The 14,349-nt window shown below is 39.0% G+C and overlaps 2 protein-coding genes across 14 annotated transcripts in view, besides 1 other annotated feature; one reads left to right on the plus strand and one right to left on the minus strand.

Moving 5' to 3' along the window:
* The window catches only part of RAVER2 (ribonucleoprotein, PTB binding 2), an 88,158-nt gene extending 75,426 nt beyond the window's left edge, over positions 1–12,732 (plus strand). For both annotated transcript variants that reach the window (NM_001366165.2, NM_018211.4), the window contains exon 12: positions 10,339–12,732. In NM_001366165.2, coding sequence (NP_001353094.1) covers positions 10,339–10,485 — 147 coding nt within the window. In that variant the 3' untranslated portion in view covers positions 10,486–12,732. The remainder of the gene's footprint in view (positions 1–10,338) is intronic.
* Positions 6,631–6,810: an enhancer, noted in NCBI's record as "active region_1129". NCBI's record gives its function as "activates an Ori minimal core promoter by ATAC-STARR-seq in GM12878 lymphoblastoid cells {active_cell/tissue: GM12878}" and the evidence as "EXISTENCE:reporter gene assay evidence [ECO:0000049][PMID:35858748]".
* Positions 12,729–14,349, minus strand: part of JAK1 (Janus kinase 1) — a 234,518-nt gene continuing 232,897 nt past the window's right edge. For all 12 annotated transcript variants that reach the window (XM_047419676.1, NM_001321852.2, NM_001321854.2 and 9 more), the window contains one exon: positions 12,729–14,157. In XM_047419676.1, the coding sequence (XP_047275632.1) occupies positions 14,062–14,157 (96 nt within the window). In that variant the 3' untranslated portion in view covers positions 12,729–14,061. The remainder of the gene's footprint in view (positions 14,158–14,349) is intronic.

Consider the following 14,349-nt stretch of genomic DNA (forward strand, 5'->3'; position numbering starts at 1 on the left):
TCATCACCGAGGTATTAAGTGCAGTACCCAATAGTTATCTTTTCTGCTGCTCTCCCTCCTCCCACCCTCCACCCTCATGTAGACAGCAGAGTCCATTGTTTCATTCTGTGTGTTCATAAGTTCTTGTCATTTAGCTCCCACTTACAAGTGAGAACACGCGGTATTTGGTTTTCTGTTCCTGCATTAGTTTCCTAAGGATAAAAGCTTCCAGCTCTATCCATGTTCCCACAAAAGACATGAGCTCGTTCTTTTTTATGGCTGCATAGTGTTCCATAGTGTATATGTACCACATATCCAGTCTGTCATTGATGGGCATTTAGGTTGATTCTATGTCTTTGCTATTGTGGATAGTGCTGCAGTGAACATTTGTGTGCATGTGTATTTATGATAGAATAATTTATATTCCTCTGGGTATATACCCAGTAATGGGATTGCTAGGTCTAATGGTAATTCTGTTTTTAGCTCTTTGAGGTATTGCTACACTACTTGCCGCAATGGTTGAACTAATTTACACTCCCACCAACAATGTATTAGTGTTCCCTTTTCTCCACAACCTCGCCAGCATCTGCTATTTTTTGACATTTTAATAACGGCCAATTCTGATTGGTGTGAGATGGTATCTCATTGTGGTTTTGATTTGCATTTCTCTAATATTCAGTGATATTGAGCTTTTTTTCATATACTTGTTGGCCACATAGTATGTCTTCTTTTGAGAAGTGTCTGTTCATGTCCTTTGCCCACTTTAATGGGGTTGTTTTTTTCTTGTAAATTTAAGTTCCTTGTAAGTGCTGGATATTAGCCCTTTGTCAGATGCATAGTTTGCAAAAATTTTCTCCCATTCTGTAGATTGTCTGTTTACTCTGTTGATAGTTTCTTTTGCTTGCAGAGGCTCTTAATTAGATTCCACTTGTCAATTTTTGTTCTTCCTGCAATTGCTTGTGGTGTCTTGTCATGAAATCTTTGCCCGTTCCTATGTCCAAGGAACCATATTGCACTAAAACCGCCAGTAAAATGTTGAATAGAAGCAGTAGAAATATGTATTCACACCTTGTTGAAACTCTGTTGGAACAGGCACATAGACCAATGGAACAGAATAGAGAGCCCAGAAATAAGGCTGGACATCTGCAACCATCTGGTCTTCGACAAAGTTGACAAAAGCAATGGGGTAAAGACTCCCTATTCGATAAAAGGTGCGGGGATAACTGGCTAGCCATATGCAGAAGATTAAAGCCAGACCTCTTCCTTACACCATATACAAAAATCAACTCAAGATGGATTAAAGACTTAAATGTAAAACACAAAATTATAAAAACCCTGGAAGACAACCTAGGCAATACCATCCTGGACACAGGAACGCACAAAGATTTTACGACAAAGTATGGCCCATACACAAAGGGAAAGTAATTAATAGAAACTGCCCATAAGGAAGTGTAAACACTGGACTTACTAGACAACGATTTGAATTAAAGGGAGCCATGTCTCAGGAACTTTTAAAAAGTATGAGAGGCCAGGCGCGGTGGCTCACGCCTGTAATCGCAGCACTTTGGGAGGCCATGGCGGGCGGATCACGAGGTCAGGAGATCGAGACCATCCTGGCTAACAACAGTGAGACCCCGTCTCTACTAAAAATACAAAAAATTAGCTGGGTGTGGTGGTGGGCGCCTGTAGTCCCAGCTACTCGGGAGGCTGAGGCAGGAGAATGGCGTGAACCCGGGAGGCAGAGCTTGCAGTGAGCCAAGATTGCGCCACTGCACTCCAGCCCAGGTGACAGAGCGAGACTCCGTCTCAAAAACAAACAAAGTACGAGAACAACATCTCATCACTTAGAGAATATCAATAAAGAGAGAGAAATTATTTTTAAAAATCAAATATAAATTCTTGATTTGGAAAGTATGATAACAAATGAAAAATTTACTACAGCACAGCAGTAGATTTGTGCAGGCAGAAGAATCAACAAACTTAGAATGTAGGTCAATTGAAATTATCCAGTCTGAGAAACTGAAAGAAAAGAGAATGAAGAAAAATGAACCATAGCAATGTAGGCAAGGATGTGGAGAAATGGGAATCCTCATACAGTGCTGGGGGTTGGTGGGATGTAAAAGGGTGCAGCTGCTTTGGAAGAGTGTGGCAGTTCATCAAATGTTAAACATAGAATTACCAGATGGCCCCAGGATTTGACTCCTAGGTGTATCCAAGAGAATTGAAAACTTGTGTCTGTACACAAATGTGTACATGCATTGGCACAGCAGCATTATTCATAATAGCCAAAAAGGAAAACAACCCAAATGTCCATCTAGTGATGAATGAATAAACAAAATGTGGTAATATCCACGTGATGGAATATTATTCACTAGAAAGGAATGGAGTACTGATCCATGCTACAACATTGGTGAACCTTGTGAACATTATGCTAAATGAAATAAGCCAGACAAAAAGTCCACATATGATATTCCATTTATATGAAATATCCAGAATAGGCAAATCCATAGAGAATGTAAGTAGATAGTGGTTATTGGGGGCTGGAGGAAGGAGGAGTTGGGGAGTATGATTAACAGGATTTTTTTGGGGAGGGGAGAGTGATAAAAATACTCTAGAATTCAATTGTGGTGATAGTTGTTCGTAAGTTGGTGAACCTTGTGAATCAACAAATTTTGGACTCTTTAGAAATTAAGCTTCAACTGTACTAAACAGAGAATAGCATTTTCATTTAGTGTTTTAGAGATCCTAAAAGTAGTTAGTTATGAGCAAACAGATCAGATCAGTTTTTCAAGATCTAGGTCTAATTAGAAATCAGTTTTAAATGGACTACCCCTTCCATTTCTCTAGTCAGTTGTAATAATTAATTAGAATTGCCATTGAGCTGTGAATTTTCTCAAAAACTGCATGTCTTGAATATTTGAACTATGATTGGGAAAACTTAAATCAGAAATAAATTATTTAAAAATTTGTAGTATACACTCTAGCAGTTATTAATAGCATTATAGTCAGCTATGTAATCCTGTCAATATGAATGTACAAATTGAGTTTGAAATTTCAGATTCTGAGGTCCTTCTATGTCAAATGGTTGGGAGAAGTCTACCTTAAAAGAGAAGCTTTTGAGCCCATTTATTAAATGTCTATTAAACACCTAAATCTAACATCTAATTATAATCAGTCAAAGACAAAACATTTCACCCTTCCCCTTTTAATTAAAATAGGTAAAAATATATCTTAAGCACCTTTCCAGTTTGACATAGTCCCAATAATGTAAAGAAAAATGTAAGAGGTTTTTCAGCTGTTTGATATGACTGTGTAAGTTGTGATTTTTTTTTTTTTTTTTTTTTTGAGACAGCGTCTTGCTCTGTCATCCAGGCTGGAGGGCAGTGATGCAATCTCAGCTCACTGCAACCTCCACCTCCTGGGTTCAAGTGATTCTCCTGCCTCAGCGTCCCGAGTAGCTCGAATTACAAGCACCCACCACCATGCCCAGCTAATTTTTGTATATTTAGTAGAGACAGGGTTTCACCACATTGACCAGGCTGGTCTTGAACTCCTGACCTCAAGTGATCTGCCTGCCTTGGTCTTCCAAAGTGCTAGGATTATAGGCATGTGCCACCGCGCCCGGCCTGATTTTTGTTTTTCATTTAACACTTGCCATATGTGGCAGTTGTCCAGCATGCAGCACAGCAGTGTTATCTACTTGCACGGTGTGTTCTTGTGTTACCCTGATTCCAGGGATCTCCCCTGCCAGGAGGCTGACTGCCTGTTCCAGGGAATCAACCACAGAATATATGATGAGATGATGTGATGAGGGGAAGAGGAAAGAAAAATGAACAAAAGACCTGGAAAATGAATGCTTGGTCCTTTCATATGGAGCCTAATGCTGCCACCCAGTGGTCAAATAATGCAGACAGACTTGCCAAAAAGTACATTGTGTTATGTAATGAATGCTGTGTGGATTTTTGTATGGACCGTGATAGATCCGAATCGTGTGACAAACACCTACCATACAAAATATGTTTTAAAACATAAGCCTACTTTAAACAACAATTATGGGAGCACAGGTTATCTATATATTAACCCTAGACAATAACTTGGAAAGTACTTTTAAAAAGTGATTTTGGTTAAAAACTGGAAGTAAGGAAAGCAAGCTGTTGAAATGTATTTCGGCTGGGCGGGGTGGCTCATGCTTATAATCCTAGCACTTTGGGAGGCTGAGGTGGGTGGATCACCTGAGGTCAAGAATTCAAGACCAGCTTGGCCAACAGGGCGAAACCCCGTCTCTACAGAAAATACAAAAAATTAGCCGGGTGTGGTGGTGCACGCTTGTAATCCCAAATACTCAGGAGGCTGAGGCAGGAGAATCGCTTGAGCCCGGGAGGCAGAGGCTTTAGTGAGCCGAGATCCCGCCATTGCACTCCAGCTTGGGCAACAGAGCGAGACCCTGTCTCCCAAAAAAAAAAAAAAAAAAAAAAAAAAATTAGTGCTGTGCAATACCTTTTTGGGGATGAATCGTTAAATCCAAAGTTAGGACTCAACCATTATTCATATGAAGAAAGACAAGTAGCTGAGAGGCAAATATGAATATGAACATTGGAAACATTTGTTATGTATATATATCAGACAGAGACATTTTATTATATCATTAATGTCACAGAATGAAGCATATTGATTTTGAAACATTTTTAACAATGGGAGAAAGTTATATTTTTAAATAAAAATTTAAAAATGTTTAATGCAGAAATAATGATAAAATTAATTCATGTTTCTGTAGGTCTGAAATCTAAAAGCTGGACTTGAAGCTATAAGAAAGGGACATTAGGGGCTTGATTCAGATCTCAGGAGAACTAGTGCAGTCCCATTTTGGTTCTCCGTATACCTGACTCCACTGAAGAGACAAGACTTAGAAAAGGTGAAGTGGGGCTGAAGGTAAGGGTGAGACTGAGGAGTCCTTGAGGCAGAATTTTCTGAAAACAAATTTCATTTTGTATTTAAAGGGCTACCTGCTAGATGCTTATATTCTTTTCAGAAGAACAACAATAATAAATATCTTTAATTGGACTGATAGCAGATGAGCCTAATGGAATTCACTGTTGACATTAACATATCCCAAAGGAATCTTCTGAGGGATAGTCAAGATTCCCCTTTCCCCAATTCTTACGATGGCTTTGAAAACTAGCCACCAGTTCAATTATTGACATGAGCTTAAAAATTGAGCTTAAGATACATTGTATTAAAAACTGGCAGTCAACAAATGATATTGTGACATTCTGTTTCTACATTCACTTGGAAATCAATGGGATAAAAGAAAGTCTACATTTACATGAAAATAAAAAGATTTGCTTTAATAAAAGAAAATTAACTTTTTAAAATCCAAGAATAAAATAGCGACTGCATAGAGAATGGGTTTCATAGTAGATGTGTGCAAAAGATTGGATTGGTGAGCAACATTTAAAAGAGCCAACTAATTTGAAATTCTAACGAGAGGGCAGGTGCCCAAAGCGAGAAGCACATTAACCTTTGCTTTGGTAGGCTCTAGTAGATTACGGTGTTCAGTTTTTCCATGTCAGAGTGTCAGAGACCATGGCCCATGACTATTTGCTGAAGGAGCTGGGAATGGATGCTTAGAAAATATTTTTTGAAAGGTATTCATTTACTCATTCAACCAGTATATACTGAATGTCTACTATATGACAGGACTGTTCTAGGCACTAGGGATATGGCAATGAACAAAACATCAAAATCCTTATAAGAATGGAACTTACATTTAGGGGAAAAAATTAGTAAAAGGAATAGTGATCGCTGCAGAGAAAATAAGATGGAGGCTAAAGAGTGTCTGGGAAGTCTTGGAGTTTAAATACGTGGTCAAGGAAGGGTTCATAGTAAAACTGATTCTTGGGCAAAGACCAGAACTTTAGGGAGTATGCCACATGAATATCTATGTAAAGTACATTCCAGGGACAGGGAACAGCAAGTGCAAAGGTACTGAGGCAGAAACATGCTTGGTCTGTTAAAGGAACAGCAAGCAACCTTTAGGGCAGAAGAAGAGGGAGCAAAGTGGAGAATAGGAGATGATGTCACAGTGGGGTCGGGGAGGCAGAGGGCACAGACAATTTAGGACCTTTTAGGCCCTTGTAAGGACTTTGGCTTTTACTCTAAGATAGAAAGCCACTGGGATGCTTTGAGTAGAGGGATAATTGACTGTATTTATAGTTTAACATGCCTAGCTGCTGTGTTAAATAATGAATGTAGAACATAGCAGGGTCAGTTAGGGAGCTGCTGTGGTACAATCCAAGTAAAAATGCTGACTTGGACAAGCCTGGAAGCAACAGAGGCAGTGACATGTGGCTGGACTGGAGACATTTTTGGAAGCTGGAGTCAGTGGGGTATACGAGGGTAAGAGAGGAGCCAAGTCCCCAAGAGTTTTGGCCTAGAAAAATGAATTTGTTATTGATTGAGATGGGTAAGACTGTGTGGGTGGAGCAAGTTTTATGGGTACGTTTTAGACATAAGATCCCTAAGTGAAGATGTTCCTTTATTGGTGTTCATTATACAAGTCTGGAGGTGAGGGGAGAGTTATGGGCCTCTAGAGGTACATATTTGAGAACCATCGCATTCCTGTAAATCGCTATAATTGTGAATTGCATGAAATTGGATGAGATCACCAAGGAAGTGAGGGTAAGTAAAGACACCAGGGGTTAGTCACTGTGCGTCTTAAGATTTCTCTTTCGATTTTGTTTTCTTGGTGAAATAGAAAGCAAAGCATCAGCTGAGAGTGAAGATGAGGGTGTACTGTTGGAGCTTCGAGAAAAGAGAAGGCTTGCAATAGTCACTTAGGGGAGTGGAGATCAGTGGGCAGGGTAGGGTGGGGATATAGTAGGATTGCCCAGGGGCATGAGGGTGAGGGGCCTCCGTTGAAGTTATGCCCATTCTGATAAGGAAGTATTAGACTTGGATTGTAGTTCCAAAGTACAGAATGGAACCACTGGGTGCAAACTATTCATAGAGTGGTTTCAGCCAACCCTAAAAAAGACCCTGCTAAAGATGAAGTCCTCTAAAATGACTATTGTGTTTGATTTCCACCTGAATATTAGACATGTAAAACTAGAATATTATAGCTTCTCTAAAGGTCTTCCTTTTGTTTGGTATTCAAAGCATAAATGCTCATCAAAATTGTTTTCAGATTTTCTAAATATACCACTTTGTTCTGTCTCATCTGTAAGTTTCATGCTACATTTTAAATCAAGTCTTAAATCACATATAATCTGTGTGTTTGCTCACATGCAAGTATCTAATAGGGACAAGTTCAATAGCCTCCTGGTGAGACTTAATAATGCCTGTCTCCTTCATTGCCATACTTTTTACAGAGCTGCTTATTAATCTTGCCATATTCCAAGATCAAGGGTATGGTCCTGTTTACAGTCCTTAGCCTGGCGTTCCAGCCCTCCATGACTGAGGCCAGCTTCATTTTTCAACCTCATTTGCCACTGCCCTCTTCTGCCTGCCAGCTGCTACCATCACAGGCCTGGCTTTTTTGCCATCTGCCTTTGCACAGGCCCTGCCTTTCTCCTGGAAGGGTCACCACCTATCTCCTCATGTCCATATCTGACCTCATCTCCAAATCCTAACTCAGATGCTATCTTATCCATGAAACCAGTGCCTGTACCTTTCAAACCCACCCCCCCCACCCCCCGCCCATTTTCCTTGTCTGGAAAAAGCTTTAGCACTTCACTTCTATTTCTCTTTTGTCAAAGTGACAGTCCCCTTTTAGAATTATGTTTTGCATTCCTCTTCCTTCCCCTCCTAGGATATGAGCTGTGGGAGGGCATAGTCCAAGTTTCATTCATCCAGGTAAACCTCATAGCACACAAGCCCAGTGCCCGCAATAGACCACTTATGAAGGAATGGATGTCTAGATCCTACAAATACAAAATAGAAGGAAAAATATTTGCTAACTTTATATTCTTTCCCTCTTTTGTGTTTTGTTGTGGTTGTGGTTGTGGTTCTTATGTAGGAATTTATTTCTCCCAGAGCACTGAGCTTTCTTTCAAAATTTTAAATCATCATTCCCCATTCACCAGTCCTTACACTAGAAGTTAGATATCTTTGATAGGGCGTATCAGAAGAATTACCTTTCTCCCAGTATCACATGGGCTACAGTGAAACCCGTTTTCTTTTTTTTTTTTAAGGTTTAAATTTTTAATTGTGATAAAAACATAAAATTACTATTAAATATTTAAGTGTATAGTTTAGTAATGTTCAGTATATTTACATTATTTTGCAACAGATCTCTAGATTTTCATTTTACAAAAGTAAAATCTGATAATTAATAAACTGCACTTTTCCCCCTCTTCTCCTCAGCTCCTGAAGAGAACATCATTTGACTTTCTGTTTTTATAACTGGGACTAACTTTTATATCTCACATTGGTGTAATCATACCATGTCTGTCTCTTTTTGAATGTCTTATTTTACTCAACGTAATGTTTGCAGGCTTTGTCTTTATTGTAAGATGAGTGACACCCACTTTCATTTCCTGTTCTAATATTTTCCTGTGCTGCTCAGTGAAGTTTTTTGCTGATTTCATAGGTCTCAGTTGGTTCTCACTGTGAATGGTGTTAGCACCATTGGGAAGCCCTTTGAATAAAAGAATGTAATAAATTTCCTATCTGGCTTCTGACAGTGAAGATGGTATAGAAAGACAGAAACCCAGGCTGTTGCTTTGCTGCATGCCAAGACATGAAAGAATAGATAACTACATGGCAAGAAGAATTGGGGAAGGTGGGTGAGAAGAGCAGGAGCATCCCAGATCCCAGAGTGAGCAGTCTGCTTCCCTCCCCCAGTCTTTGGAAAATCTCACTTGTAGAATGGACTGATGACTTCTAAGAGGAGGAAAGCTGCTAAAAAGAGTTCTTTATACCTGAAGTAAGGTCTGATGGTGTTAGTGGCTGGGGTCCAACATTCAGAAAGATCACCTACCAGCGAAGGGGCCCTAATGAAGAAGGCAGCTGGAGAGAATAACCAAGAGGCTGGAGACTGGGAGGAAGGGTTTTTGGGGCAGAGGCTCCACCTAAGAGGTGAGCAAGCTGTTTGGTGCAGCAGCCCTTCTCTAGGGCTGAACCCCTCGTCACCATCAACTCAGCTTTGACAACTATCAACTTACGGCAGGTCTCCTTTCATCTACCCTCTCACCTGCTTCCCTTCTAACATTCTAGCACAAACCCCAGACATACTTTACTACCAGGAAAAAAATGTCGAGGCAGAAATTCAAGCCAGATTCTTTGCCCATCAGCTTCACTCTGTGAAACATTCCTTTACACTGGGCTTGTGTGAAGACGCTTTGTATTGGTCTGTCCCCACAGTAAGCCACTTTGAAATGAGATACCAGAGGACGCAGCGTTCTTTCAGTCTTGTCATCCCTCTAACATGGACCACTGAGAACTACTTTAGCAAGGAGTTGAGAGAGACCTATCATCTGTTCCCTCTGAGGCTGGCTGCACTTTTAAAAATTGTGACCGTTGTTGGTTCAAAAACAATTGCAGTTTTAATTGCAACGTGAGAAGGCTCCTGTGTGTTACTGGAAGCTTTACTCATCAGTCATTTCTAAGTTCTTGCATATTAAGTCACATAATTCTGCATTGATAAAAGCTTGCTGCACTTATTTTTGTAAAAGCTGAAACTAAGAGGCATTAAGCTGAGCAGTGCTACACCATCTGATTTACTGTGCTGATCACTGTGACCACTTGTGAGGACATGTGGCCCACTTTCAGGTCAGAATCTCTGGGATGGTGCCTGAAAACCTGCATTTTAATATGCTCGCCAGGCGATTATTGTGGAGACCAAAGCTCTGAGTTTCCCATTGCTCTCTAGAATGTTTCATGTTGTTTTCTTTGATGTCATTTGTCAGTTTCTACACCTATTGATTTATTCTCTCACCACTCCTCTTGTCACCAGGCACACTTAACATCTAATTCAATATGCAGCTTGATGTCTTAGCCACTCCTCCTTCAGAGGAATACTGACATTCGGTGTTGATATTCTGAGTCCGTGGGTTTAACTAGCTGTGATCAGCAGAAGCAGCTGCATGCAGTGCTCTAATTTTTTCTTTTCCCAAAAAGTTGGGGTTGGGAGTGAAGGTGCTGAGACTGGTTTGTGTCTTGCAGAAATTCCAAAGGCGATGTTGATACAGAAATTTAAAAGTCTTATTTAACAAAGGGGTTTGTGTATTTTTTGATAGTTTGGGTATTTATCCTGTTATTCTATATTCACCAAGTCAAAGTGGAATGCTTTTCTTATAAATATCTTTAATGAATAAGCCAACTTTAGATTTTAAAACTAGCTGCAATTTTATTTTCTCATAGGTGTCATCTTTAAGAAATGAAAAGCGAGGCTCATCATATCTCATCTCTGCCCCAGAAGGTGGTTCAGTGGAATGTGTTGACCAGCATTCTCAGGGCACAGGAGCATATTACATGGAAACTTACTTAAAAAAGAAGCGAGTATACTGAGTTAAGCTCTCTCCTAATAACCCCCTAAGGTTCTCTGCAGTATCTCTGCTGTTCATCGCTGCCTTAACTTCATTCAAACTAGCCATATCCTTTAAATACGGGTTTATAGTTTCCCAGAAGGAACTGTGTTGTGCAGCAGGCAGAAATGCCAAATAAAAAATAGCAATAAGAAGAGACATCAATTGAGGACATTTTCCACTAGAGTCAGATGCATCTTAATCAGTGTGCTAACTTACAATCCATTGGAGAAACTAACAATGTTCCAATATTCCTTGATTTAGGACTGGGAATAATTCTGACACCATATATAAAAGAAGTTTGAAGCAATAAATGGGAAACAGTGTTGTTTCCTGAGCCTTAGAAGAATGAGTTTCTTATAAGCCAATGTGCATTTCAATTTACTTTCCCTAGAAGTAATTGCATTTATAGATTTTTAGGACTTTTCCTAGAACTACAAGGGTGCAAGTACCAAATGTGCTGATGGTAATATTATAAAGATGCTCTACATGCACACTCAATTACGCCCACACCAGCCATGCAAAATTAAACCCGGTAAGAGAGTGACAGTGATATCCAAGGTATCCACTACTACCGATGCTTTAAGATGTTGTTTACCATTTATACCTTCTGTGAAAAATAGAAGGTATTTTAAGAAAAGTAACTTTGGTGATCTAATAAAAGGGTTTGGCAAACTACACCCTGGGTCCACATTTGGTCTACCACCCGCTTTTGTGCTGCCTGCAAGCTAAGACTAATGTTTACATTTTTAAATGGTTGGAGGAAAAAAGAAAACTTATGACATGAAATTTATATGAAATTCAGATTTCAGTGTCCATAAATAAACTTTTATTGGGACGTTGCCATGCTCATTCATTTACGTGTTGTCTGTGGCACTCTTACGCTACAAGGGCAGAACTGATTAGCTTCAACAGAGACTGTATGGCCTACAAAGACCATATGGCCTAAAATTTCAAGTATCTGGCCATTTATATATAGTTTGCTGATCCCTGATCTAATAGCACTAATTCTAATAGCAACTATTCCTTTCAATTCACCTAAAGACAGACCTTTAGCCTTTAGACAGACTTGTAAGTGGAAAGGAACATGGGTTTCTGTGCTCATTTCATAGCGTAGACTAGTAATGATCTAATGACTAGAATGGGGCCTATTTTGATCACTAAATGCCCTATTATTTCCACAATATAGTATAGTAAAGCAGTCAATACTGCACTTTCTGATGGAGTCTTAAGGAGTCACAGTATTTATAACCATTTTGAGCTAATAAGCTATACCTCACTCTCTGCTTTCTCTCTCACTCTTTTTGATAGTGTGTTAGGGTGAAAAATCAGTTATTTAACCCAATTTACTTGTGAAAGAAGTTTTATCTTTATGGACTATGATGACTTTTGACATCACCATTTCTTGAAGACCTTGGTATTAAATGCATGAGAAACCTTTTGCCATCTAGAAATTTCTAAGTTTGTTTATGTTATAAGACTGTAATTAATTGATAGGGAATTTGGGATCTCAATCCGGGGCTTTTTGAAATCAGATCATTAAATATCTCGTCACTTTGGGGACTTGTTATTTTTAACTATGATGTGGATATCCTGTTTTAATTATGAAGTCTAGAATTGGTACATATGTTGTATGCTTTGTAAAGAATTTCACTTGGTCTAATTTATTGCATATACTAGCTTCTGTTGGAAAATGACTGACAGCTAGAAAGTTTAAGGTAATTTCTAAGTATACTACCTATAAGTAACTGATAAGAATTAGGCATCATTCAGTGATATAGCAGATGACTAATGGGTTTTTCAGGCCCTGCACTTCTCTTTCCCATTTTCCTGTTGCATTCAGCCTCTTCAATGCTTAGTCACACCTCCACTATAGTACAAACAAACAAACAAACAGAAGAAAGGAAAGATGGTGAATTTTGCAACAGAGCTGCAAAAAGTCAGTCAGTCAAAGCAGGAAGAGGTTGAAGGAACTAAAACAAACAAACAAAGGTGTCTGGACTACAGCACAGTGGACATGCCATCCATACTGGCCTGTGCCCCGTTATCAATCACTGGGCACAACAGTGAAGAAGTGCAAATCAAGTGGTGTTTGTTTGTTTGTTAGTAGTAAGGACCGTAACCCACCCCTTCCTCCCCCCAAAACTATACTGTTATTTTTCTATGTAAGCAAATTGTTTGAAATGCTTTGAAAATGAAATCTTAATATTAAAAGGCATATGCATGTAAAGTCTTTAGTATATTTATTTGTATAAAGAGTAAACAAAGTGCATATAGAGTGGCCACAGGTTTGACACAGAGACCTTGGTGATGTAGGCTATGAACAAATTTAAATGGCAACTTCATTGCTGCCACTGAACCAATCCTGAATTTGGGCTCAACAGGTGAAAAGTAACAATATCAAACGAATACTAAACAGCATAACAAAAAGATTTTCAGACTCTTGGTCATAAAGACCGTAATCGTTCACATTGAATCAATGACTAAACATTTTTGATTACCCAGCTACCTCCAAGCAAACTGAAAACTGTCTAGTGGATCCTGAAGTCCATAGTGCCTCTAGCCGGGTCTTTCAAGTGTTGCACCACAGGGTGATGATTGATGGTAAAAACAGGGATCAACCCTTGTAGATCGGTGGTAAGTATGGAAACCCTCTAAGAACAGTGCAGCGTATGTGGTATTCAGACTGGTTGCATACAGCATTCAAAACCAGTGCTGGAATAGCTTGCCCCAAAGTGGTAGAGTTATAAAAGGATATACATTGACGTTTCTTAAAAGCATGTGTAATAGCATCCAGGTTCTGGGAATGAGTTCTGATTAAAGGTATACTGCTTAGGAAAGCACTGGCACAGGCTTAGTTCTTGAGAATTAACATGCAGCAAATTATCTATTCCACAGCTATCCCCCCATGTAGAACCAGCTTTCTCAAAAATGGGTGCTAGTGATCACCCAAAGGAACAGGAGCTAAGCCACTGGAGAAACAAAGTTTAAGTCCTACTGGTGAGAGAATACAGTCATTTTTGTACAGAAACAATATATACTACCTGGTATCTAATATTTTAAGAATGCATGGTCTAGTACTGTATAGATACTGAAATTTGAGGGCTAAGTCCATCAATCTTTCTTTATCTATGATTAATGTGCCAGCAAAACATTTCAGATCAGCTGGCAGCAGGGAAAAGCAATCATCTTCAGATATTATTTTGGTCAACTCCTCGTTTTCAAAAATCCCCTTTTGGTAATGCAGTTGTGATGGTGAACTAGCCAGATGAAATGGTGGTATATTCTTTCCACAAGGAGGAGTGCTTAAGTGCTTTCAAATATTTTGGTTGTCATTATGTGTCACTAAGTTACTGGTACCAAATTTAAAGAGGAAGTCCTTACACATATTAAGCACTACAGTGTGCCTTATACATGTATATGTACTGAAGTATGAGTTCAGTGACTTTTTGGACAGAACACAAACTTCTTTCATTAGAAATTTTTAAAAAATGACTTGGGCATTTGTTGCAGGAGAAGGACTTGATAATCTGTGGAATTTAAATGTTATTCATGCTTCTTATTTTAAAAGTGCTTCAAATCCTTCAATAAGGTTCTGAAAGCTTGTCCGATTGGATGGTTGGAATTCCCAGCATTTCCTCATAAGTTGATAAACCTGTAAAAAGAAAGAAGTAACAACAGTAAAAATGTTAGATCTGGGAACTTTAAAAAATAACAGAAATATCAAGAGTAAGAAAATAATTTTGGAAATGCAATGACTTTTCCTTAAAGACTAGAAAAACAAGAGTATTTGAATAGTTTAAAACACAGAAAATGGGATACAACTCTAGTTCATAAATAATATTTT

This window comes from Homo sapiens, chromosome 1 (genome assembly GCF_000001405.40).
Source record: "Homo sapiens chromosome 1, GRCh38.p14 Primary Assembly".
In the NCBI taxonomy this organism is placed as follows: Eukaryota; Metazoa; Chordata; class Mammalia; order Primates; family Hominidae; genus Homo; species Homo sapiens.